Source organism: Homo sapiens, chromosome 11 (assembly GCF_000001405.40).
Source record: "Homo sapiens chromosome 11, GRCh38.p14 Primary Assembly".
NCBI lineage: Eukaryota > Metazoa > Chordata > Mammalia > Primates > Hominidae > Homo > Homo sapiens.
In genome coordinates, this window is record NC_000011.10 from 15,161,467 (window position 1) to 15,189,312 (window position 27,846).

The 27,846-nt window shown below is 41.1% G+C and overlaps 1 protein-coding gene across 11 annotated transcripts in view, besides 2 other annotated features; it reads left to right on the forward strand.

Annotated features, from left to right (window-relative positions):
* The window catches only part of INSC (INSC spindle orientation adaptor protein), a 158,261-nt gene that overhangs the window by 50,051 nt on the left and 80,364 nt on the right, over positions 1-27,846 (forward strand). For 10 of the 11 annotated variants that reach the window (XM_006718227.3, NM_001031853.5, XM_017017698.2 and 7 more), the window contains 3 exons: positions 14,275-14,620; positions 15,645-15,697; positions 16,858-16,981. In XM_006718227.3, the coding sequence (XP_006718290.1) occupies positions 14,275-14,620; positions 15,645-15,697; positions 16,858-16,981 (523 nt within the window). Of the gene's footprint in view, positions 1-14,274; positions 14,621-15,644; positions 15,698-16,857; positions 16,982-22,951; positions 23,057-27,846 lie in introns of all 11 variants that reach the window. The other variant, NM_001278314.2, reaches the window with a different exon arrangement.
* Positions 13,953-14,476: an enhancer, noted in NCBI's record as "H3K4me1 hESC enhancer chr11:15196965-15197488 (GRCh37/hg19 assembly coordinates)". NCBI's record gives its function as "activates a minimal SCP1, AML or CMV promoter by ChIP-STARR-seq in naive H9 embryonic stem cells {active_cell/tissue: H9 hESC(naive)}" and the evidence as "EXISTENCE:reporter gene assay evidence [ECO:0000049][PMID:30033119]".
* Positions 14,477-14,998: an enhancer, noted in NCBI's record as "H3K4me1 hESC enhancer chr11:15197489-15198010 (GRCh37/hg19 assembly coordinates)". NCBI's record gives its function as "activates a minimal SCP1, AML or CMV promoter by ChIP-STARR-seq in naive H9 embryonic stem cells {active_cell/tissue: H9 hESC(naive)}" and the evidence as "EXISTENCE:reporter gene assay evidence [ECO:0000049][PMID:30033119]".

The window sequence follows — 27,846 nt, forward strand, 5'->3', positions numbered from 1 at the left end:
GCATGGAGACAGGAGAGAACACAGAGAAGCTCAGAGGAAAAGGGGGCATTTCCACTATAGGTGGGCACAGGAGGCATTTTGTAGAGCCCACTGAAGGAGAAAAAAACCTTCTCAGTGTTTCTGGTATTGCACAGATGGGTCAGTGGCAAGTTAGAAACATGCCTGTTGCAACCTGCTTAGCACCAAATGCTGGGGCAGGATTTACACTTAAAATGTGAACTTGGAGTGCTTAGGGGTGGAGAGAAGAAGAATTGCCCGCCACTTACGTAAAAGCCCCCATGCACAGTAAGGCCTATGCTGATGCAGCTCAGCATGGGATTCAGAGGCAGATCAGAAGCAGAGAAATGAAGACATCGAAAAATTTGATCAAGATTAGAGTAGTCACATTTCCTTTAGTCACATTTGACTGGGGCTTCACAAGAGCCTTGGTGCAGAGGGATGGGAAGTTAATAGCCTAACCATGCTGTAAAGTATTTATAGCTTGTTACATAAATAATTATGGTTTAATTAGCTGTTTAGTAAACAGTTTATAGTTCACTGCATAGCAGAGGTTAAGTCATTCTAAAGTCATCTATGTGTTGTTTTTATAAAGCCCTCACTGAGAGAGTCTTCCTGTTGGGTTATAGAGAAGTATATGGGCTAGATGGACCCAGCTGACATCTGGTGACAAGAGTTCTTGGGGGACCTGGGAAGTATTTTGTTTACTCAGAATAAAACCCAAAGTGCTTACAATGGCTTCCATGGCTTTATGTGATCTGGCCTAATCCCTTCTATGAGCTCCCCTCCTACTAATATTTCTGTTGTTCTTTCTACTCTAGCCACACTTATCTCCATACTGTGTCTCAAACAAAGCAGGCATCTCCCTCTCAAGGCCTTTGCACTAGGCTCTGACCGCCTGCAATGGTCAGTACCCATATTTCAGCTAATTCTTTCACCTCTTTGAAGTGTTTGCTCAATCTTAGCTTCTCAATGAGCCCTGCTCTGACCACTTATTTAAAATGAAAATTACTTACCTGCTTTCCACTTGACGATTGTGGTACCCCTTATTCTACCACTACTTGTTAATAGAAATCATCTGCTTTTAACATACTGTATTCATTTTTATTTATTGTATTTATTATTGTTGTCTGTCTTCCCCTGCTATGATGTACTCTCCACAGGGGCTGGAATGTTCGTTCGTTTTGCTTACTAATATATCCCAAGTAGCTAGAACAGTTCCTGGCACCTATTTAGCCCTAATTAAATATTGTTGAATGAATGAGACTTGTGAGAATATTCAGGGTGAGACTTGTGACAGTATGTTGGCCATGCACTCTGTATGGATGCTGGGAGTGCCTGGAAGTTTTTAGAATAAAGTTCTATGAGAGGGCAGTCCAGTAAGAGGGACTGGACTTCTTGAAAAGAAGAGATGTTAGGTCTATTAGATTCACCGTGTCACAAACTGAACCTATCATTGTGTCTTCCAAATTTATTTCTCCTATCCATTCAGCTGCTCAAGTAAAAAATCTGGTTCTCATCTCTTCACTCTCTCTCATTCATCATCTATATGAATCAGTGTCCAAGTCTTACTGATTTTGTCTTCTTAATTATTCTTGAAGGATTTTTGCCCAACATCACTCTGTCATCAGAGCTGAGAATTTCTACTCACCTTACACTTGAAAGTCATTTTGAATGAATATAAAATCACTGGCTCACACTTTATTTCCTTGAGTATTTTAAATATGTAACTCTACTTTTTCTGATATAAAGTATTGCTCTCAGAATCTGATGATAGTGGAATTTTCTGTCTCTTATGGGTAACATGCCACTTAGTTTTAGATACACAAACAATTTCTTCCCTCCCTGCCTCCCTGCCTTCCTTCTCATTCTTTTCCCTTGTGCAATAATCTTACTATCTTACTACAGTATGTCTTGCATGTTTGCTTTTATGTATGTAGTATATTCTTTCAATGTGTAGTTTTAAGTCCCCTCCCCCACCTGAAAGTTTTCTGATTTATAGTTTTAGTATTTACCCTGTTTCTGTGCTTTGAATTCCTTCCTTAGGAACTTACATTGTGTGTTTGTTGGATCTTCTTACCTAACTTTAATATTTGTTGTTTTCTCTCAAATTCTTTTTATTTTACTTATGTATTTATTTTTTTGAGATGGAGTCTTGCTCTGTCGCCCAGGCTGAAGTGAGTGCAGTGGTGCGATCTTGGCTCACTGCAACCTCCGCTTCCTGGGTTCAAGCGATTCCCCTGCCTCAGCTTCCTGAGTAGCTGGGACTACAGGTACCTGCCACCACGCTCAACTAATTTTCTGTATTTTAGTAGAGACAAGGTTTCACCATATTAGCCAGGATGGTCTCGATCTCCTGACCTCATGATTCACCTCGGCCTCCCAGAGTGCTGGGATTATAGGCGTGAGCCACCATATCTGGCCTCCTTTAATCTCTTTCTTCATTTTTTATTTTCAAAGTTTTCTTAATTTTTGCATTTGATTTTAAAGGCATTATCTTATGTGTTTCTTCTTGTTTAGCCTTTGTTTCTAAAATGACTTTCCCCTCTTTATTTCTAATTCCTTCCTGAGTTGGGACATTTCCTTTCTGATAATTTATGCTTCTTGTTCCTGTTTTTTATAATTTCCTTAAAATTTTAAGCTTATTTTGTTATAGTCTTATCTGTTTTAAGAGTACATTTTTTTTCTGGCATTTTCTCATTGTAGAGATATTATTCTGCTCTTTATTCTCTTTTTAAAATAACTATATATGGGATGAGACTACAATAACTTTCTGTTGCTCACTTTTAAGTGAAATTAGTTTTCATGAACCTTTAGAAGAAGGCAGGGTTCAGGAAACCTATTCTAACTTTATAGAACTCCACCTTCTTTTGTTTTAGTATAGGGTCCAAAAATATGATGACCTGCTCTCTGAGTGTTCCTATCTCTGCTTTCTTCCCTCACATTGATCTGAACATCTCGTTCCTGTGCCTCTGTTGTCCCTGTCCCACTGAATTTGGATTCCACTCTCAGGAGTTTCTCCTTAATGTGGTGCTTTGTTGTGGTAGAGATTCCTGGTGGGTCAGTTTTGAGAGTTCATAAAACACCCTATACTCAGCTATATTGGAAAGGCAAATCTCCTTCTAGTTTCAGCCACTGTTCTCAAATTCCCATACTATGCTTTCCAGTAAATACCCAGAGGCTATTTTGGGTTCTCCTTTCTCATGTTCTTCAGATGCCACCTTATTGCTTCTTTCTTCTTCGTCTCATAAGATAATATGATATGGTTTGGCTGTGTCCCCACCCAAATCTCATCTCGAATTATGGCTCCCATAATTCCCATGTGTTGTGGGAGGGACCAGGTGGGAGGTAATTGAATCATGGGGGTGGTTTCCCCCATACTGTTCTCATGGTAGTGAATAAGTCTCACGAGATCTGATGATTTTATAATGCCTGCCACCAGTTAAGATGTGCCTTTCGCCTTCTGCTATGATTGTGAGGGCTCCCTATCCATGTGGAACTGTAAGTCCTTTAAACCTCTTTTTCCTTATAAATTACCCAGGCTCAGATATGTCTGTATCAGCAGCATGAAAATGGTCTAATACATGATACCGAGCAGGTCTTACAGCTGTTGGTGGTTTGTCCCCACTTGCTGGTATTTCGAAGTTTGTGGGGATAACTTATGATCTAGTTTCATTATAAATATCATCCATGGGGTAGGGGTTGTCATATAGTTACTCTGTCAGTTTTCATGTGGGGGTTTGAAGAGATTGGAAAAATATGCGCCACCACTGCCATCTTTCCAGAATTTTCTTCATGTTTTTGACTTTTAAGTAAAAAAGGTTTGATGATACACAGGCTTTATTAGAACTTCTCTAATAGAGACTAACACTTAGAGTATTACCCATCAGGCAGTATATATTATGTGTATATACACATAATATATATAATCACTTCACTTAATAATCACCAAAAGCCCAGAAGTTAGTTATTATTATCTTTCACCATTTGCTAGTGAGGAAACTGAAGCACTGAGTGGTTGTATAACTTGTCCAAAGTTACGTAGCTAGCCAGTGGCAGAGCTGGAATTTGAATCCAGGTAAACCAGCTATAGAGTTTCTGCTCTGGTGGGAGCAGTGGTAACCAACAGGAGTCTTCACCATGCCTAGAAGACCCAGTGGCATGCCTGGTGGTGGTACCCTGGTACCTAAGAGAGGTAGCAGTAAGAGAAGAAGTGATGAATGTAACAGTCTGAGATGTCCTGTGGAGTCCAGAGAGCATGACATTCACTGGAAGGAATGGCAGCCATGCTGGGTGGACATGGCAGGGCATGGCAGCTAGGATCATGCCCAGTGTAAGGCTGCTAAGGAAGAAAGGGTGTCAGAATCATTCAGTTCCACCTTGTAGTTGCTGAACCAGTCTTTTGGGGGGTGGTGGGGGAACATATGTTAGATGAACTCTGGGGACTCTTAGATGCACTTGAGCGAGCCTCATGACCCATCATGATGGGATGAGAGTGAAGTTGGGCTATCTTTCTTATGTCTGTCTCTTCTGCTCGACTATGTAAGCTTCCTGGGGGCAGGGATCACCAGAACAAGGCCTGGAACATTGTCAGTGTCAATAGTGTTTCATTGAATTAAGTTGACCAGGGATTGCCTGAGAGATACTGCTTAATGTTTTAAACCTTGTTGAACTGGTTGAGAATATTCTATGTTGGTTCCTGGTGTCATGTGGGGACAGACACTTCTCAAGGGCTTGAGAATATATACCCACAACTCACCAGAGCACTGTTTGCCTTTACATTCAGGCCAGGCTCTGAGAATTGGGGCAATGGTTTCTAAGGGTCTAAGCTCTACCCAACCAGAGCATTGCTTAGTGGAAGACAGGAACATTTGCAAAAATGCCTTGAATGAGAAGTTTCTCTGGTTCTAATGACATCAGCTTCAAGTATTTCAAAATCTTTATTATCATACTTTTTGTGGGATCTAGTTACTTGCCCAACACTTAAACTTTTACCACAGGGCTGGGAACTCACCTATATTTTGTCTGACATCCTAGCCAAAGACAAAATCCATACCTCCTAAAATTAATTCTAGAGCAGAGGATAGGGTGGGTTTGGGAGGTTCCTATGTGCCAGTCCAGGAAACTCTTGCCTGTCTTGTGTAACTCCTTGCAAGTTTGGAAAATATTTTTTTCAAATAATCTGGCTTGGCAAGGCATACTATGCATGTCTCCCAGGCAGTCTTAGGCTTATTTGATTCGATTACATATTTATTGATACCTACTGTGTGTCAGGCCTTGCGCTGAGATGAATCAAACAATGACTGCTTTTGAGGATATCTCAAAGTCTGGTGGAGGAGAGACACAGATGGGAAGATGAATAGTGTGGTCAGTAACACAGTCTCTGGAGCCAGGCTGCCTGCATGGAGTTCTGGCTCTCTCAAGTCATGTGGCCTTTCTACACCTCTATATTTTCACCTGTAACATGGAGTGAATAAGAGAGTAAACCAAGTAAGGTTGTCGTGAATAAAATAATGCATGATAAGTGCACAGCTCTCGAGGTACTGTAAAGGTTCAATAAAAGTTATTATTACTGGTGGATTTTTTTTTATTTTTTATTTCACTGTGACTTCAGAACTGCTTTTTGTCTAATTCTGTCTATTTTTTTTTTTGCTAAACACAAAAATATTATTAACACAGTAGTTTAGTTTAAATGTGAGCAGCTTGGGTGCAAAGCATTCTGGGAGAAGTCAGGCTGGGTGGGGGTTCTCGAGCAGCCAACCCATTTTTTCCTTCAGCTGCTAATAGGCCAGAGCCTCCGAATGTCTTCCCTGCCCTGGACATAAGCGGCATGCACCTGCTTGATGGGCCTGGGGATTGGTCACTGAGTAGAGGTAGGCGGAGGCAAGGATTCCCGCACTTACTAATTTGTTCTATGTTTTCTTCTCAGTATGTCTGGTTGCTGCTTGGGGAGAAAGAGTTGCTGCTGTTTAAACAATCTCTATAAATAACAGTTATTTTAAACTCTTCTTTTAAGAGAAAGGGTCTCACTTTGTCACCCAGACTGTAGTGCAGTGGCACCATAATAGCTCACTGCAGCCTTGACCTCCTGGGCTCAAGTGATCCTCCTGCCTCAGCCTCTTGAGTATCCTGAGTAGCTGGGACCACAGGGAAGAGCCACCATGCTCAGCTAATTATTATTAATAATAATAATTATTATTGTAGAGATGGGGGTATCGCTATGTTGCTCAGGTTGGTCTCAAACTCCTAGTTTCAAGGGATCCTCCCACCTCCACCTCCCAAAGTGTTGGGATTACAGGCATGAGACATCACACCTGGCTTAAGCTCATTCTTAAAGTAAACCAGATTCTGCTTTTCCCCACTGGCACCTTGTCTGTCCTCATTTCTAGGACTGTTACCGTGAAAGGCAACTCCTGCAGCTGGACAGCTCTGTGTGGCTTTGGCCTGAAAGCAGCAATTATATCTTGGCGGCTCATGATTCTTGCCCACTCTCCTCTCCCGAGCTGTAGGCAGGGTCAGGGGCTCACAGTTTCCCTTCATCTTCCTTTGCCCATAGCAGCCCCAAGTTGTTGCTTGGGCAAATGGTCCTCCCCATCTGCCTATGTTAAGGCTGCCTCATCCCTCTCTCTGCTCATCTACTTTATTATTTTATTTCATTTTATTTTAAGTGCTGGGATACACATGCAGGATGTGCAGGTTTGTTATATAGGTAAACGTGTGCCATGGTGGTTTGCTGCAACTATCAACACATTACCTATGTGTTAAGCCCCACATGCATTAGCTATTTATCTTGATGCTCTCCCTCCCACTACCCCACTGACAGGCCCTAGTGTGTATTGTTTCCCTCTCTGTGTCCATGTGTTCTCATTGTTCAGCTCCCACTTATAAGTGAGAAAATGCAGTGTTTGGTTTTCTGTTCCTGTGTTAGTTTGCTGAAGATAATGGCTTCCATATCCATCCATGTCCCTGCAAAGGACATGATCTTAGCATGGTGCTCAATGCATGGGATATGCTCAATAAATTCCAGTCATTATTATATTTCTAGTTATTGTGACACGTGTGAAGGTGTTTTATATGGGGAAGAGCAGCACAGAGAACTAACATTTTTGAGTGTCCCCTTTTGTGCCATGCAGTGTGCTAGGCCCTACACATTCATCACTTAATTTAATTCTTCCATCAACCCTGTGTGGAAACCTCTATTATTATCTATTTTGTGGATGAAGAAATTGAGGCTCAAATTGGTAAGAAGTTTACTCAAAACACAAACTTATGTTGTTAAAAGTCAGGATACTGGTTATCCTGGTTGGGGAGTGACTAGAAGGGGCTCAAGGGAGAGTTCTGGGACAATGGTAATAGTTAGGTTTCTTTATCTGGTTGCTGAATTCATGGATGTGTTGACCTTATGAAAATGTATTGAACTGTAGCTCAATATTATGATGTGTTCACTTCTATGTACATATGTTATATTTCGATAAAAATTTCAGAAAATGGAAAAAAGAAGCAGCAGCTTGCCTAAGGTCACACAGATTATGAGAAGCAGAGCTAGCTCTTCCTACCCTTATGCCAGTGTGCAGGCCTTGTTTGCTTGTGTCTGGATACATCCCCCTTATGCTCAAACTCGTAGACAATAGGCTACTCAGTCCCAAGGAAGCTGTGGCTCAAGGCCTGTCTGTTAAGGTGGTTAAGGAAGGAGCAGGGTCATTATGAGCCATCATGAGGGGCCTCAGAGGGAGGGTTCCCGATGTAGCTAGGCATTGAAGGCACAGGTCCACGAGGCTCACCTGGGATTCATCTGTAGGACAGATGATGAGGGCCCGACTGGAAGACAAAGCTACTGGGAGTAGCTATGTTCCTTTCCCCTGAGAGAACAACTTCCACCCATAGCCTGACTGGTGACCGCTTTTCTTTCCACTTCCCAGTTCTTTGAGGAAGGCTCTGTTCCTGGCTCTTTAGCCAGGTTTCACCTATCATCCTGGAGCTTGGACTCTCAAGGTGTTCCCTGCATGAGGCTCATGATATAAAACCAGAGAGACAGCTAGTCTGGGCTCACAGTTTTTGTTGTTGTTGTTGTTTGTTTGTTTGTTTGTTTGTTTTTTTAGATGGAGTCTCACTCTGTCACCCAGGCTGGAGTGTAGTGGTATGATCTCTGCTCACTGCAACCTCTGCCTCCCAGGTTCAAGTGATTCTCCTGCCTCAACCTCCCGAGTAGCTGGGATTACAGGCGTGTGTCACCACACCCAGCTAATTTTTTTTTTTTGTACTTTTAGTAGAGACAGGTTTCACCATGTTGGCTAGGCTGGTCTCGAATAGTTATAGATTTACAGAAAGTTACAAAGGTAGTACAGAGTGTTCCCATATACTCCACACTCAGTTTCCCTGATTGCTGACGTCTTATATTACCATGGCACATTTGTCACAACTAAGGGACCAGCATTGGTCCATTACTATGAACTAAACTCTAGACATTGCAGTTGTCCCTTGGCATCCATGAGAGATTGGTTCCAGGACTTCCCACAGTTACGAAAATGTGTGAATCCTCCAGTCCCTGATATAAAATTGCTTAATACTTGCATATAAGCTACACTTATCCTCTTGTATACTTTAAATCATCTCTAGATTACTTATAATACCTAATACAATGTAAATACTATGTAAATAGTTGTTATACTGTGTTTTTTGTGTGTGACATTTTTATTATCATATTGTTATTTTTTGTTTTTTTGAATAATTTCAATCTGCAGTTGGTTGAATCCATATATGCAAAATCTGTGGATATGGAAAGCTGACTGTATTCAGATTTCACTAGTTTTTTTTTCATGAATATCCTTTCTCTGTTTCAGGATTCCACCCAGGATATCATATTACACTTAGTCCTCATGTCTCCTTAGTCACCTCTGTTCTATGACAGTTTTTCAGTCTGCCTTTGTTTATGATGACCTTGACCACTTTGAAGAGTATTGGTCAGGTGTTTTGTAGAATGTCCCTCAGTTTGGGTTTGTCTGACGCTTCCCTCATCATGAGACTGAGGCTACGTGTCCTAGGGGAAGAATGCTACAAGATGAAGTGCACTTCTTATCATATCCTTTCAGGGGTACATGCTAGCAACATGCCTTATCCTTGGTGAGGTTAAACTTGATCACTTGGTTAAAATAGCGACTGCCAGGTTTCTCCACTGTAAAGTTTCTTTATTTCTCCCTTTTCTATACTCTTTTCTTTGGAAATGATTCACTAAGTGTACCCATGCTCAAGCTCCTCCACCTCCAGTTTTTAATCATCCAGTTTATATGAGGTAAGTCCTGTAAACACATATACAGTCATCTATTTGCGCAAATAGGGATATACAGACACACAGACAGATACAGGCATCCAGATAATATAGACAGGCACCCAGATGGATTCATATCCACAAACACAGACACTGGTAGGCACAAACACGCAGGGCTTGAAGAAATCAATAGTTCTGTCACTCCAATTCTCCTACTAGCAGAGTGCTGAATCGATTAGGAGTTTAATTACAGCTTCTGAAATCTCACTTTCTTTTTAATTCTTACATAGCTTTAAAAACAATAACTAAGTATATACCTCCTGTGTGCATTGGGGTGGAGGGCTTGACAAAAATGTGAGTTGTGGATCTGAGCAGGCCTCCCAGGGCCTTGTTCTCCTTTCCTACCTCTACCATGGCTGTGGGGTTGGGTTGGTTCTTTCCTTTCCAGGCCAGAGGTAAGGGGTGTGAGTGCCTCCATTCAGAGGATGCCAGAGCTCTTCCTTGGGGAGCAGTCCCAGCACACAGGTTTCCTTTGAGCCAGGTGGTGGTCCCAGGTGCTGTAATTTGGCTGTTTTCCAGTCCTAGCCATCCCTACCTCCCCTGCCCTGCCCACCCTCCAGTATCTTCTCAGGGATCTCAATGTGAATGGCCAGCCCCTAATCTGGCACCGAAGGCTTCTCACAATCAGGGCCTTGGTGTACCTTTCTGGCTTTCCTTATCATGGTTCCCTCTCTTCCAGAATGTACAACTCTAGAACAGGGGACTTACTTATTGTCCCTTTGACTGCCTCACCCTGGAATATGCTCTCACTGTCTTGACAAGTCCAAACCCTACCCAGGATATGACCACCTCCTCCAGGCACCTGCCCCTGATCTCCAACGGAAAGGGGGAGTTCTCTTCTTGGAATTCCCAGCAGATCCTTACTCTAAGAAGAACACCAACTCAACTATGTTTAGTTATCTGTGCACTTGTGTCTTAGAAAATGTTCTTTTGGTTACAAGCAATAGAAATTAACTCTTGGACTTGTCTCCCCACTCCCCAAGTGATCCTGGAGGTTCTCATGGAACAACTGAAGTTGCCATTGTTAACATGTCCCATGTACAATAATCCCTGTCTGTATGAACCTTGGTTCTACGTTTCACAATTTGGGGCAAGGAATTGGATTAGTGCAGCTTAGTTCAGAAGCCCACCGCTGGATCAAGCACCAATTGTTTCCAGGGGCATTTTAACACAGACTAGACATGGCCACAGATGGCCAGGGGATCACCCCTGTGTTTGGGAGGAGGGGCCTTTAGCAAAGAAGAGGGAAAAACTGCAGCCTGGGTAGCCATCCCAAGAGGTAGCTAATGAAACTTGTCTTTATGATTGACAGAAGAGACAGAAAAAGATGCTGGAAAGATAATGTAACAGATGTCCACTGCAAAGTGCTTATGCAGTGAATGAGTCAGTGTGCAAGTGATTTGTTCATTTGTTGCCTCTTAAAAGCCCCTAGGTCAGTTTTCCTCCCATTTCTATGTCTTTAGAACACAATAATCACAGTTTTTCCATCTTTAATAACTCCTTTTCCATCGTGTCAATCTCGGGGCACTCTCTGTGTAGCCTGTGTGATGGAGGCGTATGAAGTCTCTGCATAGGTACAGACCTATGGCAATAAATGCCTGACACTTGGCCACTCAACAATGGGCATACATTTTCTGAATAACTGATATATGTCAGACACTGGCAATAAGCCAGGCACAAGAGACTGTTCCTCACAGGACTTGGGGAGTTCAGGCACACACACCAATTGCAGTAGAATGTTACTAGTGCCCCACTGAAGGATGCAGAGGCCCTGAGGGGGAACTCATGAGCTCTGGCTGTAGTTTTTTAGAGGAGGTAATATAAGAGTCAGGTCTTGCAGGGTGAGTAGAAACTTGCCAGGTAGAGAAGAAGAAAAGAGGTTTCTAATCTGAGGGAGAACTTCATGTTCAAGGCTGCAGAGGATTGTGAAAGAGAGTGGTATGTTCGGGAAATGGGGAGGTTGAATTTATCTGAGGTGTAGAGTGTGTTTGTGGCAGGGGCGCTAGGAGTTGGGGAAGATGGACAAGGGAGATGTGTGAGAAGGGAGGCTGGGGCCATATCACGGAAGCTCTCTCATCTTAGCCTCAGGAGTTTTGACTTATCCAGGGAACGGTGGTATGGGGGGCGCAACTGAAGGATTTAAGCAGGGGAGAAACATATTTTAATATCTATGTAGAAAGCCCTAATACATTCTTGGGGGAATGTGAAGCATTGGGGTTTTTGAAAGTCAGTGTGGCAACATCTATTGAATTACAATTCAGAACATATGAATGAGAGTGTTGAATGTTGCATTGTTTATAGAGGTCAGGAGCTGAACAAAAAGTGAATGCCCAGGAATGGGAAAATGGCTTAATAAGTTGTGGAATATACGCAATATGGAATAGTGTTCAAACATTGGAAAGAGTGTTTTAGGATTCTGCTGGAGGACTTGAAAGATTTCAAAGTTAAGTAAGAAGATCAAAATGCAGCAAGATGTGTATATACTATGGTCATATTTACAAAAAAAGCAATAGGTCAGAAAACCTTATAAATGTATATATACTTAGATAAAAGTCTGTGTAAGAATGCATGAGTATGGAGAAAAATATAAAATGATACTTACTAGGTTAAAGTTAGTTGGCTGAGATTGGAAGGGGTGGGCAAATATAAGGGAATGGTAATAAGATGCAGAAGATTAGAAGTTGTCTGCAATCAAACCGTACATGAGATGTGATTCTACTTAATATAAAATTAAATATGATTTCATAAGGATATATGGGCAGTAGGGTGCTGTGATTTTTGGATTTAATGGGTTTCTCTCTCTCTCTGTGTGTCTGTATACATATACATATATGTATGTGTTCACATACATATGCATGTATATGTATATGTTCAAATTCTTTACAAAATGTAATAGCTATTTCCATGAAGGGAGGCAGAGACAGAGAAATCATTGGTTATTTTTTAAAAACAATTTAAAAAGCAATTTCCTAAAAGAAATCATATGTTCAATTTCATAATTAAACATAAGATGTGTGGTTAAAAATTACATTTAAAAGCCTACAGTCAAATGGTTACATATTTCAGAAAGTCTTGCTCCTTCTCATTAAATAACTGTAAACATGAAGACATGATTTTTTAACCTCGATAACTGGAGTCTGCCTTATAATTTCAACCCTACTTGGTACCTTTGCTTCACCAGGCTGGCCTCATTGGTGCCCTTTATTTGCTATACTGACTCAGAATAAAAGCCAAATCTCCACCTTGTCCAACACAGCCCCATAGGATCTACTCCCCTCACCCCCACCTCATTGCTCTCAACTCATCTTCCACCTTGGCTGACTATTCCCATGCTACTCTGGCCTCCTTGCTATTCCTTGCACATCTCAGGACACTTCTGCCCCCAGAGCCTTTGCACTTGCTGATCTCTCTCCTTGGAGCAATTTGCCCTCAGATAGCCACATGGCATCCTTCGTCGTGTGCTTCAAGTCTTTGCTCAAGTGTCTCTTTCTCAATGAGTCTCCTCTGATCCTCTTATTTTAAATTGTGAGGTCTACTCCCCCACCCACCCCTAGCACTCTCTAGTCTTTTTTTCTGTTCTCTTTTCCTTCCTAGCATTTGCTACTTGCAACATATTACATACATTGCTCATTTATTTTGAAAATTGACTGTTCTCTCACTTGAATGTAACATTGGCTAGAGAAGTGATTATTTGTTTGCTGCTACAGTCTAGGTCTTAGAACAATACTTGACATGTTGTAGGTACTGATATTTGTAGATGAGTGAATGAGCTGGTGGCAGGTGAAGAATGTTTGAGGCAGGTAAGATCAGCGGCAGAAAGACTAATCAGAATACTGTTACAAGCCAAAGACAAAGGAACTTGCACTCAGCCTTAGTCATTAGCTATGCATGTCTTCTGTTGTGAAATGATAGTGAAATTTGTTATTGTCTTTTTAGTTTAGTTTTGTTTTCAAGCTTTACTTTTAATTGACACATAACAATTGTCTTTTAACTTCTCATTAGTTTATCTTGATTCTTTAGGCAGATCAAAATCTTTTCGAGAGTGGAGGCTTAACATCTTCATATCTGCTTTTCCCACAGTGCCTGGCACTTATATGAAATATAAGGGACTCAACAAATATACAATGCTTTATCAATGATCTGATATTACTGACTTTTACTTGACTCAGTGAATTTTAGAGTGCATTTTATTTGATTAAGATCTTAGGAACTAATCTATGTTCTCATGCTGTTGTACTAAATATAGTTAATTTTGTTCCATTACAAAAGTAATATACATGCTCACTATAGAAAATTTGGAAACTAGAGAAAAGCTGAAAAAAATGAAAAAGACTTTAGTTACATTACTCCTTAAGAGCCTTTAGCATTGTAATGTGTTTCCTTTAAATATTTTTCCTAGATGGAGCTTTCTAACATTATTGTAATAATTGTGTGTTTACATTTCCATTTTTGCATATTAGCACACACATTTTTCTTAGCTATAAACTTTTGGAAAGCATCATTTTAAATAATTGCGTACTACATAATCATAGCTATACCATAGCTCACTTAGTGTAACCATTATTTGATATTTAGGCTATTTCCATTAACTTTTTTTAAAGAGATGGGATCTTGCTATGTTGCCCAGGCTGGTCTTGAACTCCTGGCCTCAAGCAATATTCCTGCCTCACCCTTCCATTTCCCCCTTATTGTAAAGATCATTGGCTACTCTGTCAGACATAATTACCTGTTGCTTGTTAGTCTGGTCATCTGCCCTTAAAACTTTATGCTTCAGACTTCTTATCCATAAGATGAAGAGAATGAGAAATGACTGAGAATATCAAGGTGCATGAATGGGAGAAACACTGCTAAACATATAATAGGTGCTTAGTAAATATCAGATGGCCTAGAATTGAGACCTTTGGAAATCATGGGGTGTTGATAATTATCGTGGTGCTGTTTCCTGGTTGCAGGCTACACCTGATGCAGGTGGACTCAGTCCAGCGCTGGATGGAAGATCTGAAGCTCATGACCGAGTGCGAGTGCATGTGTGTCCTGCAGGCCAAGCCCATCAGCCTGGAAGAGGATGCACAGGGTGACCTCATCCTGGCAGGTGGCCCTGGCCCTGGAGACCCCCTGCAGCTGCTGCTCAAACGGGGTTGGGTCATTAGCACAGAGCTGCGCAGGATCGGGCAGAAGCTGGCCCAGGACCGCTGGGCACGGGTGCACAGCATGAGCGTGCGTCTGACCTGCCATGCCCGCTCCATGGTCAGCGAGTACAGTGCTGTCAGCAGGAACTCCTTGAAGGAAATGGGCGAGGTCAGCTGCCCTGGGATAGGAGTGGGCGGGAACTGGAAGTCAGGGTGCTTTAGAGAAGAGTGGGTTTGAATCATGTGGTGTCTGAATCTTTTTTGCTCCAGAAGCCTTTCTCCCCTTCCAGTAAAGGAGGAAAGAAAGAGAGTGGAATCTTTACTGAGTGCCTACTATGTGGTGGACATTGTGCTAGGTGTTTTTTTTTTACATGTATCTCATTTAACCTGCACAACCTGTGAGGTAGGTGCCACTACTTTGAGAAGCTGTGCAGTGGTTGAATATATTGACTTTAATGCCAGACTGCTTGGGTTGAAATGTTAGCTCTGCTATGTGGACCTCAGCAAGTTACTTAACTTCTCTGTGTCCCAGTTCCTTCATCCTAAAAGGTATAATAATATAATTTATTTTATAAATTTGTTGTGAGGACTAGATGAATTGTTATATGCAAAACACTTAAAGCAATTGATTAAAAATGTTAGGATTACCTTTATTTTATAGATGAGGAAACAAAAGTTCTAAGAGGCCAAATAATTTATTTAAAGTTACGCAGTGAATGGTGTAATAAGTAGGGTCCAATCTAAGCTTTTCTGAGTCCACAGCCCATGACTTTGAATCTTCTTCTCAAAGCCCAAGGTGAACCATTAAAAATCTCCCTTGTTATTAATTCTCTTTCATCATTCTCATTTCACATTAGTGCTTTGCCCTTTGCCTCGAACTTTTCCTTCCTTAGCTTTGCAGACATTAAAACTTCTCTTCATTCTTCAAAACCCAGCTCAAATGCCCCTTCTTTCCTGAAGCTTCCCAGCTTCCTCAGCATAAATAACTGCTCAGTTTCATTTTCTTATACTCCCAAAGCAGCCTACCGTGAGCTCTTTCACCACCTGTATCACACTGTGTTATATTTTAACTGCCTGTTCCCCAAGTCACATTAATTGATTCTTCATGTTTAATGTCCCCGTGTGCTCAGCACAGCAGTTGGTCCTCAGTTAATGCTTACTGAGTTGAATAAAATGGACTTATTTTTCTACAGATTGAGAAGCTGCTAATGGAGAAATGCTCGGAGCTCTCGGCAGTCACAGAGAGGTAAATTTGGACCATAGATCTCCCAGGGTCTGCCCACCCGACCTCTGGCAGGAGAAGGGGCTGGTATCTTCTCCCAGAGGGAGAATGGGAATGGGAGGCGTGGTGGTGGTTTCAGAGTTTCCTTTTTCTGACTTTTATCAGAAATCTTAAAATATTCTCTTGAAATTTTCTGCCCCATGTTCAGGCCCTAGGGATAGGGTAAAAGGCAGAGGAGAGGCCTGGGCATAGGAAGAAAGAGGATTTTCTAGGAGTTGGTAACAAGGAAAAGGTTTCCCACAGCTTTGGGAAGACCCACAGATCCCCAAAGTCAAGGCAAGAGTCAAGGCAAGGTGAAAGCCGACACTCACACCCTTACACACGCACATACACATAGACTTCAATGCCCACACTCACTTTCTCATATACAGATATATAAACACATGCTTGGACCAGCACAGAAATACATTCACACCCTTTCCTCCATATTTCACACACATAAACCTACATATGTTTATACTCAGATATGTACACACACTCAGCCTCACATGTATACACACCCAGGTGTGTGTTGACTTTTTCCTTCACCCTTCCCAGAGCCTGTGTCCTGAAGATAAAACCTGAGCTCCCTGAGGTCTTTTGCTTTCCTGGGTAGAACACTGTCAGGCCACAGGAGTAAATTGGAACCTGATCCCCCTCTGTTTTTCTTGTCTGGGAAGAAAATTCTCAAGGCTCTCTGCACACTCTAGGCAGCCATTTCTTAAAGGGCCACAGGCATTGCTATCCACCTTTTCAGAGCTCACTAGCAATACCTGGCACTTGGCACCTCTCTTTGAAGCTTCTTGCCCCTTCATCTCCCACCCCAACATCACAGAGAAGATAGACCCTGGCTGCAATGATGGCAGATTCTGCAGGGAGAAGCCCAGAGGTATAGATTTTCCACATTCTGATGGCCTTTCTTCCTGTTGATGTGGACTGGTAGTCCTCATCTCAGGCCAGCACATCTCTGCACACTAAGAGACCAGTGGGCAAGCCAGCTGTGGAATATTCCATCTCTGACTCCCAGTTGCCAATGTCTTCAGCACACACCAGGCTTGTAGCAGGTCCAGTTCTGGCCCGTGCAACATTTCTGGGCTGACCACATGCCCTTTCCAGTGGCCCACCCCATGGTTTCTTCTCTTCAGGTGCCTTCAGGTTGAGAATGAGCATGTCCTGAAGTCAATGAAGGCCTGCGTGAGTGAGACCCTGAGCATGCTGGGCCAGCACTTTGGTCAGCTGCTGGAGCTGGCCCTGACACGGGAGGTTCAGGTCAGTGCAGGCTGGGCTGCAGGGAGGGGTGCTTGTGTGGACCCTTGGAGGAAAGGAGAGAAAGAGGGGCTGAGCCAGGCTTGGGGAAGCTACTGATGTGGACTTTATTGGGAAACATCTTACTCAAACCACCAAAGTCAACTCCAGCATTTGTGAAACAAAACTGTCAGAGCTGGGCTGAGGCTTCCTGAGCACCTAACCCAACTCTGCATTTTCCAGATGTGAAAACTGGAGCCCAGAGTGGGGAGAAACTTATCCAAGGTCACACAGCAAGATGGTGGCAGAGCCCAGCATCTCCCAATTCTACTTTCATTATTACTCCCACCCTTCCCAGAGCCTGTGTCCTGAAGATAAAACCTGAGCTCCCTGAGGTCTTTTGCTTTCCTGGGTAGAACACTGTCAGGCCACAGGAGTAAATTGGAACCTGATCCCCCTCTTCTCTGTTGAGTTAATGTTCACAGTTTACCCGATGGGTCCTTACTATCCTGAAAGAATTGAGGCACCTGCAGGGAATAAGCTAATTCTAGAAATCCTGACAACAGAGAAGAATCTAGAAAGATCATATAGTCTAGCCCCTGCCTCTAGGCAGGCTTGTGCTTGATTCCAGAAAGAGGGAGGGATTTGGAGCCTGGCCTATCTACTTTCTATCTGTGGTTCACCATGGAGCCTCAGTTAAGTTCCTGAACCTCTCTCAGCCTCGTTTTCCTCCTCTATAAATTGGTAAACCTTCTCCAGAAGAAAAGTGAGAGGACTAAGCAAAGGCATATGGAAGGTGTTTAGCACATAGTGTGGGTTAAATACATGTTATTTCCCTCCCTTACCCTTTGCTATTTTAAAAACCTCCCAGTAAAGCAGATTCCATAAGGTTTTCATTATGAAAGGTATTTATGGTTATTTATAGTTACAGAAATATTGTGTTACATATTTGCCATTCTTTTCCCACCACCAAATAAAAGCCTACCACAAATAACAAATCTCTTTCCATGTCGGCTCCTCTCCAAATTCAGCCTCTCTGCCGAGCCCAGGGTTTGCTTTCTCTCCTTCCTGAGTGTTTGGTTGGTTTGGTGCAGGCCCTTCTGGCTTGACTGACATGCTGGTCCTGCCTCACCCCCACTCCTCCCACAGGCCCCCATGTCAGTGCAGCAGGTCCTGGGTATTATCACCCCCGACCCCAACAACAGGAAGGTCCTCAAGGGCCACTCTCCATGTCTTGACAGGGACAAAGGGAAGGAAGGGCCACAGGCTGGGGTGCTGGGGCAGCACTTGGAGCTGATGAGCCAGTGCTGACAATCACATGCAGGGGCAGGTGGTGATCAACCATCAAGTCCAGAGGGACCCAAGGGACACAAGGACCAAAATGGACAAAAAAGTCGAGGGACTGATGAGCAAGAAATATTGGAGTTAGTGGTGGAGAGGGAGACCTGGAGCAACTTCTGAGCAGGGGTACAGGTGCTGGCTGTTGCTTTTTATGCCATTTTTGTGACCACTTTCCTGAAAGTGCCAGGTTCAATTAAAAGGGCTGAAAATGGCTGGACGCAGTGGCTCACGCCTGTAATTCCAGCACTTTGGGAGGCCAAGGCGGGCAGATCACGAGGTCAGGAGATCGAAACCATCCTGGCTAACGTGGTGAAACCCCATCTGTACTGAAAATGCAAAAAAAATAAGCCGGGCATGGTGGCGAGCACCTGTAGTCCCAGCTACTCAGGAGGCTGAGGCAGGAGAATGGTGTGAACCTGGGAGGCGGAGCTTGCAGTGAGGGGAGATCGCGCCACTGCACTCCAGCCTGGGCAACAGAGTGAGACTCCGTCTCAAAAAAAACAAACAAAACAAAACAAACAAACAAACAAACAAAAAGGGCTGAAAAAGAGGTGTTAAACTGTGAGTGAAAGCCAGCTGGGTTTGGAATTAGTCATCAGTGCTTTCTATGAGGCAGCAAAGAGGCAGGGTATCTTTGATGCTTTAGGTCAGAAGAGCCTGGGAAAATCTCCCTGGGCTTGCTTGGAGCCTACTTCCCTGGCCTTTGGGCTGTATAGTTGAATCCATTCTGCTATTTCTTCATTCTGATCATATTCAGGGTGAAATTCCTGATCTGGTGCTCCTACTTCCCCAGCTGTTCCCTGCTCTATTGCCAGGTCTGACCACCTGGTTCATTGATGCCTGGCCTGGAAGCTGAGTAGACCAGCTCCTGCCCTGTTAGAGTGGGTTCCTTATTGGCCTCCCTCTCATGGTAGGAGTGAGGGGGGGGGCGGGGGGGGGTGGTGGCCACAGAGTGTTGTCCTCCATTCATCTGCATATTAGTTTTCTTCCTGATAACCCCCATTCCTGGTGCTTTCCCCCTTCCCTGCCAGCAAGTCCCATGATTTCCTCCATGCCCTTTTAAGGGCTGAGCTTACCATGCTCATAATATATTTTTGGCTGATCTTTGGCTTCTTTTTATATTAGAAAGTTTCCATACAGGGCAGCAGTGACATCAGGAGATATATTGACTGAAGACAGGGTAACTTGTGTTCAGTGTTGTAAGCATGTGTTTCTTAAACTAGTGACTCAAATATTGTTCCTTAGGATGTTAGTAATTATACCAGGATCTTACATTTGTGCCGTCTTGATGTAAATGAAATCAAATCTATTTCTTTACATCAAAATTTGTCTTATGATGTGCCGGTCTGCTTTGCAAATCTTCCAAAAGGTCCTCAAGCACTTATAGTATTTCTTGTCTGACCTGCAGCTTCCATAGGCAGGGGTTTTGGTTTGTTTTGCTCGTGCATATATCTCTAGTGACTAGAACAGTATCTGGCATAGAATGTTAAGCAACATATTCCAAACTTTCAGGGTCACAGATTTAAAAATATTATTAAAGCACCTATTTACTTCTTCTGAGATGCTGGTGTTTTAGGAAATGCAATTCGAGAAACATTCTTTTAGCACTAAGAAGTCGTGTGGGCTCTTGAGCAGAGGAACAAATCTCCCCACCCCCTTCACCCCAGTATTAAGGGCTTTTTGGACTCCTTCAATTATGGTTGGAAAGAATGGTACAAACTGAGAAGTCCTGAAGGAACCTCCCATTGTTGTACAGACAGCCTGGACTAAAGCTGCTGAAAGAAACCCAGCTCCCCACACACTGGAATGAGGCCTTCCTGGCTGAGATGAACAAAGTATAAAAATTGAAGTGATTGTATTAACCCAAGAATCTGGGACTTTGGATTATTCCTAGAGTAAAAGGATTTAAGTTTTTTCTTTTCCTTTATTTTTTCCCAGGTAACTTTAAAATGGGATAGGAGCATATCAAAATTTTGGAAATCTTTATGTTTGTCATCATGCAAGTATGTTTGGATTATCTTTGTATTGCCATTTACTCTCGTTGCAGCTTCTACTTACCTATATTGGGCAACATGGCTGAGCAAAATCTGCTCAGTGGGAGAGTGGGAAATATAATAGGAAGCAAATTTCAATCTTTTTACTTTTAGGAATAATCCAAAGTCCCAAATTCTCAGGTTAGTACAATCTCTTCAATTTTCATACTCTGTTCATCTCAGCCAGGAGGGCCTCATTCCAGTGTGTGGGGAGTTGGGTTTCCTTCAGCAGCTGTAGTCCAGGCTGTCTCTTCAATAATGGGAGGGGTTCCTTCAGGACTTCTCAATTTGTACTAGTCTTTCCCAGCCATAATTAAAAGGGTTCAAAAAGCCCTTAATTCTGGATACATAATACTATCACAGCACTACACATATATTCTGAGAAAGTTACAATAAGCTGATCCTCAATGCCTACAGAACTCCAGGAACTTCAGGCAACCTGTTGTCCCAGGATGTCATCCTTAGGGTTGCCAAAGGCCTTAACAGATACATGCTCATCTGTAGCCAATAAAAAAAAAAGGATGTGACTGAGACTGTCTTGGTTGCAGCCTTGGTAGGATGTCAGTCAGTTTATTTCAGTTGTCTATAGTCTATAAAGATTTGTGAACATACACTCACTGGGGGAAAACATCCACCACAGGTTAATTGTGGTACTATGTTTACCATATATGGGGAAAAAAATGCCTCCTTTCTCATTGACGGGCATTTGAACTGTTTTCCTTTTCCTGCAAAGTCAGGCATTTGCAACTTCTTTACTAGGACTTGCTTGATTTGCATTCTTTCCCATTCAGCATATTCAAAACATCTTAATTTTTAGCTCCCTGAAAACACTGTGTTTCTGCCACTCCAGCATGCATTGATTTGGGCTTCTTGAAGTGACAGACCAGTAGTCTTCAAACCATTTCAAATGCACTGCATTCCCCAGGTTCTCAAAGATTTCCCAGGAGAAATGCAAGCACATACAGTTTTAAGGAAATCTTATTTCCAGATCTTCAATTTTCATTTGTTTTCTTTCTTAAAAATGATCTTCCCAATAATTCACTGAGTTTTTTATAGGCCTTCTATTATTTTCCAAAAGGCATACTCTTCATCCATCCCAAATCTTATAGTACATTGCCTTGCCATACAAAAATCTTGGTATGGGAGTGGAGAATCAAGCAAAGGAAAAGCTTTCATTCATGAACCATTAAGACCCTTAAGCTTCCATGAATTATTTCCATGCTTTATACATATTTATGTTGAGTATGCCATTAGAAATTGTGTATTTTGGCTGGGTGTGGCGACTCACGCTTGTAATCTCAGCACTTTGGGAGGCCGAGGCAGGCAGATCACCTGAGGTTGGGAGCTCGAGACCAGCCTGACCAACATAAAGAAACCCTGTCTCTACTAAAAATATAAAAAAAATTAGCCAGGCATGGTGGCACATGCTTGTAATCCCAGCTATTTGGGAGCCTGAGGCAGGAGAATTGGTTGAACTCAGGAGGCGGAGGTTGCCATGAGCCGAGATCTTGCCATTGCACTCCAGCCTGGGCAACAAGAGCAAAACTCCATCTCAAAAAAAAAAAAAAAAAAACCAGAAAAAAATAAATTGTGTATTTTTCCAAGTGTGAGCAGCTTCTCAATTCAGATATATTGTAGTGTGTGTATGTGTGTGTGTGTGTATGTGTGTTGTTGGAGGGATGATTATAAAAGTTTTCAATTTATTTTATCCCTTCCATCCATTTATTCTCAAACAGTGTGTGGCTCTTGAGGGACATTCTCCTTAGACCAAAGCAAAGAGAGCACTGGTAGGATACATCAAGCACTAAAAATTGCTTTTTTAGGACACACATTAAAATGCAGGCAATTCCTTTCAGCTATTTTTCACACTCATCCCTAGGATGTGATATTAGCTGGGAAAAATATCTTTGAAGAGCCAAAGACTCTAAAGGTTAATGACACTGATTCTTTTAAATGTAACTGTAACATGCTTTTGAGAACAACCAAAAATTTCAAGATATATTGGATAAAATACAGATACAGGTTTTACATTTTTAAAAAAATGTGGTGCATATTATTTAAGATAACAATTAAAGTCTATTTTGCCAAAATATTTTCTGAAATATTTATACTACTTTTTACTGCCTGTTAACAAAAGAAAAAATTAATTGCTAGCAGTTATGCTAATTAGATTTAAGCAGTATATACCTTTCTTTTTCTTTAAATACATAGAAAAATTTGACGATGAGAGCTACTAAAATTAATTGAATTACATATGCTTTTTAAATTCTCAGTTCTTATTTAATGATTCCCTAAAGACACCAAAGTTTAATATATATGTACCTATTTACTAAAGGAATACTGTGCTTTTTAAATCATATTCTTAGATTTTTTATTAACTTAGAATGTTAGCTACATATTACTTTGCATTATTACAAATTTCAGTAAATTATTTTATCTTGGTTTTATAATGTATACAATTAAATCAGATTTTATTTTAGGTCTAATTTATTTTAATATTGACAGTTTTTGGATTTTTTTTTTCCCATAGAGAATGATCTTCACAATTGTTTGTCACTAGGTTTTTGCATTTCTTGAAATACATATAGAAATATTTCTTTTCTTTTTGTTTTTTTTTGAGGTGGAGTCTCACTCTGTCACCAGGCTGGAGTGCAGTGGTGCAATCTCGGCTCAATGCAACCTCCGCCTCCTGGGTTCAAGTGATTCCCCTGCCTCAGCCTCCCAGGTAGCTGGGACTACAGGCACACGCCACCACATCCAGCTAATTTTTGTATTTTTAGTAGAGACGGGGTTTCACCATGTTGGCCAGGGTGGTCTTGATCTTTTGACGTCATGATCCGCCTGCCTCGGCCTCACCAAGTGCTGGGATTACAGGCATGAGCCGCCACATCCAGTGAAACATTTCTTAAATAGAAATGAAGTCAGGTCTTTACTGAGAAAAAGTTAACTCTGACTTGGCTGATTGGGTTGACTGAAAGCACTGTCTTTGCCAATTAGGTTATAGAGTGAGTATTTTTCACAAATTAAGTAAGTAAAAGCTGGAGCTTCAAGCTTTCAACAAAACATATTTGAAGAATAAAAATATTTTATTAAAACTTGTATTGGCAATGAAATAAATAATATTTTGATTTTCCCAATCCTCTCTGAATAATTCGGGTGACTCAAGGTACTCTTAAGTGAAAAAGTAGTGGTTGCAATTAATGGTTATTTGATAAGTCTTGGAAAAGTACTTTTGGAATTTTTTCCAGAAATTGAGAAAGTAAATGAACACCTCTAAAGATTGGGTAACAAATGATTCTGCAAGTCAAGGCTTTTCCAATTCTTTGCTTTTGTCAATTTAGAAGAGGACCAATTTAGAGGAGTTATCAGCTGTCAGATTATTAAAAATAGTGTTTGATGATAGATTGCTATGTGATTACATAACTTAGAAGGTGACTCAAGGGGTTAAGCAATGTAGTACACAAACTCCTCTCATTTCCCTCTATTGATTTATGGGAACAAGATTTTTCAGAGTTTACATCTAAAATATAGCATTAAGTCAATATTCAATCACGGATACATAAATGAATTATCCTAAAAATGATAAAAAGCCTCATTCATCTCATTTAGAGATATATTTATTTTAAAAATAAAATTTTTATAACTTACAATTATTTATCAAAATTTATAATGTATTTATTTCATTTGACCAATTGGGCTGATAATAATCCTCAACCAAGAAAAGATTTTTTTTTTAACACGGAGCTTGATAGTAACAGGAAATAACATTTCAAATTTCAATGATAAGTGTGATAAGGGTGATCAATAAAACACTTTAAAACTTAAATATATTACATTAAATTCTGAAGGAAAATTGAAATGGGAATATAAATTTAATGAATGATGCAGAATGTTAAAAAAGAGATTATTCATGTATTTTTAAGTGAATGATGATGGTATTAAGTTGTTTTGGTATTTAGAATCTATTGAATACATTTGCAAGAGTGATGTAATGATTTTATTTTATGTCAACATTTGCAATTTTCTGGAAATTACATTCTTTCCAACTTTGTTTTTTAAACTTATGATAAAAAAATTTAGCTGTCAAATTAAAAATGTGCAAGGGGTCATATATTTTTCAAAATGTTTTTAGGGTGAAATGAGAAAAAAATTCTTTTGACATAAGATACTCAGGTGCTTCTAGTTCTGTATTATGAGGTCTATTGTTCCCTCTTCTTACTAGAGGGTTGCTTAAACTTTAAGATCCCTACCTGCTGGGAAGGGTTTCCATTTGGTTTCCACACTTGCTGCATTTGAACATCATCCTCAGCAGATACCTGAACTGAGGCCACTCTTGATGTTCCCGAATTCTGAGTCCACGAGGGTCAGTACCTCTGCCAGGGGCTTCTCAGAATAGCATCTTCCTATAGCTTTTGAATATACCAGTTTTTAATAGGATTTCTTTCTGCTACTTTTTTTTTTTCCAGTAATGAACTCTGCCCCCAATGTTCTCTTTCCCTCTGTTAATCCCACATTCCTTTTAGAGAGACTCATTTGAATTTCTAACGATTTACTCTTCTTCTCATGTGGGTCTCTTTCCTAACTTATAGAGTGAATGCAGCATCTGGATCTGAGCTACTTTTCTGCTTTTATTTCCCTTCGCTTTCTGACACATTCTTTTGTTTTTCCAACAAACTAATCTAGATGTTGGGATTTCCCTGATTGAGAGAAACGAAATCAATTAAGTTTGGGGTCTGTCAAAATATTTTAGTTCTAAGAGATCTTATCCACATTTATGTTCCTAAATTGGATATTCCCACTTAGGAGGTATTTTCCCATCTGACCAGTAGCTCATCTAAACCTAGATATAATTATTATTTTGTCTGTTTTCTCTTCAGTACATCCAATCTTTCTGTGCCTTCCCTCAGAGTCCTAATTCATGCATTTTTCCAGCATATTCTGTTAAGACAAAGGAAATACTGCATCCCCACTTCCAAAAACTTTCACCTGAGATGGTTTATCCAGTAATCTTTCGAATAGTTCATGATGATCTCTGTGGTCTTTTCCTGTGTTCCGAACTCTACTATTAAAATACTTTTTAAAAAAAACCCAGCAATTGCTTTTATTATATCTCATGATTTTAAGGGTCAGTAATTTGGACAGGGCTTGGCTAAGTGATTCTTCCATTCTGTGCAGCAACAACAGATGTGGTATTCAGCTGGCAGATGGCTTGAAGAGTGCTAGACAGTGGTATTCACTCACATGTATGGTGCCATGGAGGGGATGGCTGGAAGGATGACCTTAGCTGAGAGTATTGATAGGGATCCTACACGTGGCTTTTCTAGCATCACATTCTCACAGTTATCAAACTTCTGATATGGAAGCTCAGGGCTCCCAAAACAGTGTTCCAAGTTCCAAGATGCCTGGGTGGAAGCTTCAAGGCCTTTTATGACCTGGCCTTGGAAATCTTAGGACATTACTTCTGCCAAATGCTTGCTTCTATTGGTCAAGCAAGGCATTAAGACCAGATTCAAGGGAAGGGGAATTAGAACTCATCTCTCTATAAAAGAAGTAGAAAAGAATTTTTAACCATCTTTAATCTACTGCATCCTGTCAATGCTACCTGCATTTTATGTAACCCCTTTGCACAGATGGGCTACTCTACTATGTCTGACTTATGGACTTTCCATCCAAAACTTTAGGGAGAGGTCTCACAATATTTTCCTGGCTCCTTCTGAGGAACTCATGCCAGTTTGCTTTTTGAGAGTTTACCTCCCTTCTGATAGATTTCACTAGGTTGCAGTTACTCGTTTTCAGATTGACAGACAATGAAAAATACATTTTTTCTTTTCTAATTCCTTATCCAGAGAAGTTAAACTGCATGCGTCTCCTTAGCCCCCTTTTAATCCCTTTTCTTTGGTCTTTAAGATGTTATTTTTTTTGTTTCATATCTGCCTAGTATGCATTTTAAGAAAATGTTTGTCATTCAGCTTCAGCCTGTCTTCTTTTACTTTTTTTCAGTCTTTTACCACTCTTCTCATGATATTGAGTGAGGCATATTTTTGAAACGTCTCCAATGTCTTCTTGATTTCCTGAAAAAAATCACCTTGATTTTGTAGAGACTGTGTCAGTTTGAGGCCGATACTAAGGTAGGAGTAGATAGGCAATTCCTATGATGGATGCAGAGGAGGAAGCAGAAGCAGGCATGGAAAGCCATGTTGTAGGTCTGACATCTGAGAAAGAAAAGGAGGAAGGAAAAGACTCAGACAGGGAATCAAGCCAAAGTCCCCTGTTTGAGGAGTCCCCTGTCCCACAGTCATGCTGTGCTCAGTTATAGCTTGGAGTAGCTTAGGGGAAGTGTGGCCTTGGCAAGAATACAGGGCAGATCCAGAGGGGCATTTGCAAGGCCCCCACTCACAAGCTCGGGTTACCAATACATAGTGTTAGATGCGAAGGGAATGGGAAGCCAGGATGGAGACCCACTCTCCTATTTGGCAAAACTTGCTAATGAGGCTGGACAACAGCCTTGCCTTGAGGCTTCAATCTCCACTAGTCCAGGTGAGGTCCTGCCTACATTAAAGGAGATGGATTTCCTGACCTTCAAAAATGGGATGTCAAATTCAGAGGGGTCAGGGCCCGGCTCCTCCCAAGACCACATAGGTAACCTTAGTCAAGTCTGCATCTGTTTCCTCCACTATGAAATGAAGATTGGACAGATGATTTCCGAGGTCCTTTCCGGCTCTGACACATGGTGATATTTAGGGCCTTGAAGATTTCAGTGGAGCCTTTGATCTCATATCTTTCCAGATTTACACTGTGGAAAGGATGCTTACAACTTTTCTTTGTCAGAGATCTGATTCACTGAGACATATCTGAGGTGTAATTACTGTATATATGTGTATAGACATTAACATGAAATTATTCTCAGACTTAAATTGTCTAATATTAGCAGCTGATTGCAAAAGACATTGGGTTCGAATTGTTTAATGTAATGCTAATTTGCTTCAAGTGCAAACACTAATCAGGAACATTAGGTAATTATCATTTAGGTACAGGACCCCAATATGTGAAATCTGCATTTTCATGTGAGCATTAGTATCACATGTGTAGCTGCTTGTGGTAATGGTGGGGAAGAATTCTAAGAAGTGTGATCTTTATAGGGATTTGTAGTGACAAATCTTGGTTATTAATTTTACCTTTTGTTGAATCTCTAACAAGAGGCATCTGTCAAAACTTAGAGCATAATTTTTATATTTAATGTAGTTTGATTAAATACACAATTAATCTTAGACTGCTATATCTAGATTAGCATGTTGTGCGTGTGTGAGGAATTTCATAAATTTGAATAAAGAAGACAAAAGGGAGAGCCACTTACCTTGAGCCTCAAAGCTCGTAATTTTAATCATTTTACGAACAGGGAAACCAAAGTGTGGGGAGCTTAACTGTACAAGATCACAAAACTGTAACTGCTTACAATTTTATTTAGCTTCCACCTGGCAGGTACCTTTAGAAATCCTTTATATATATTGACAACCT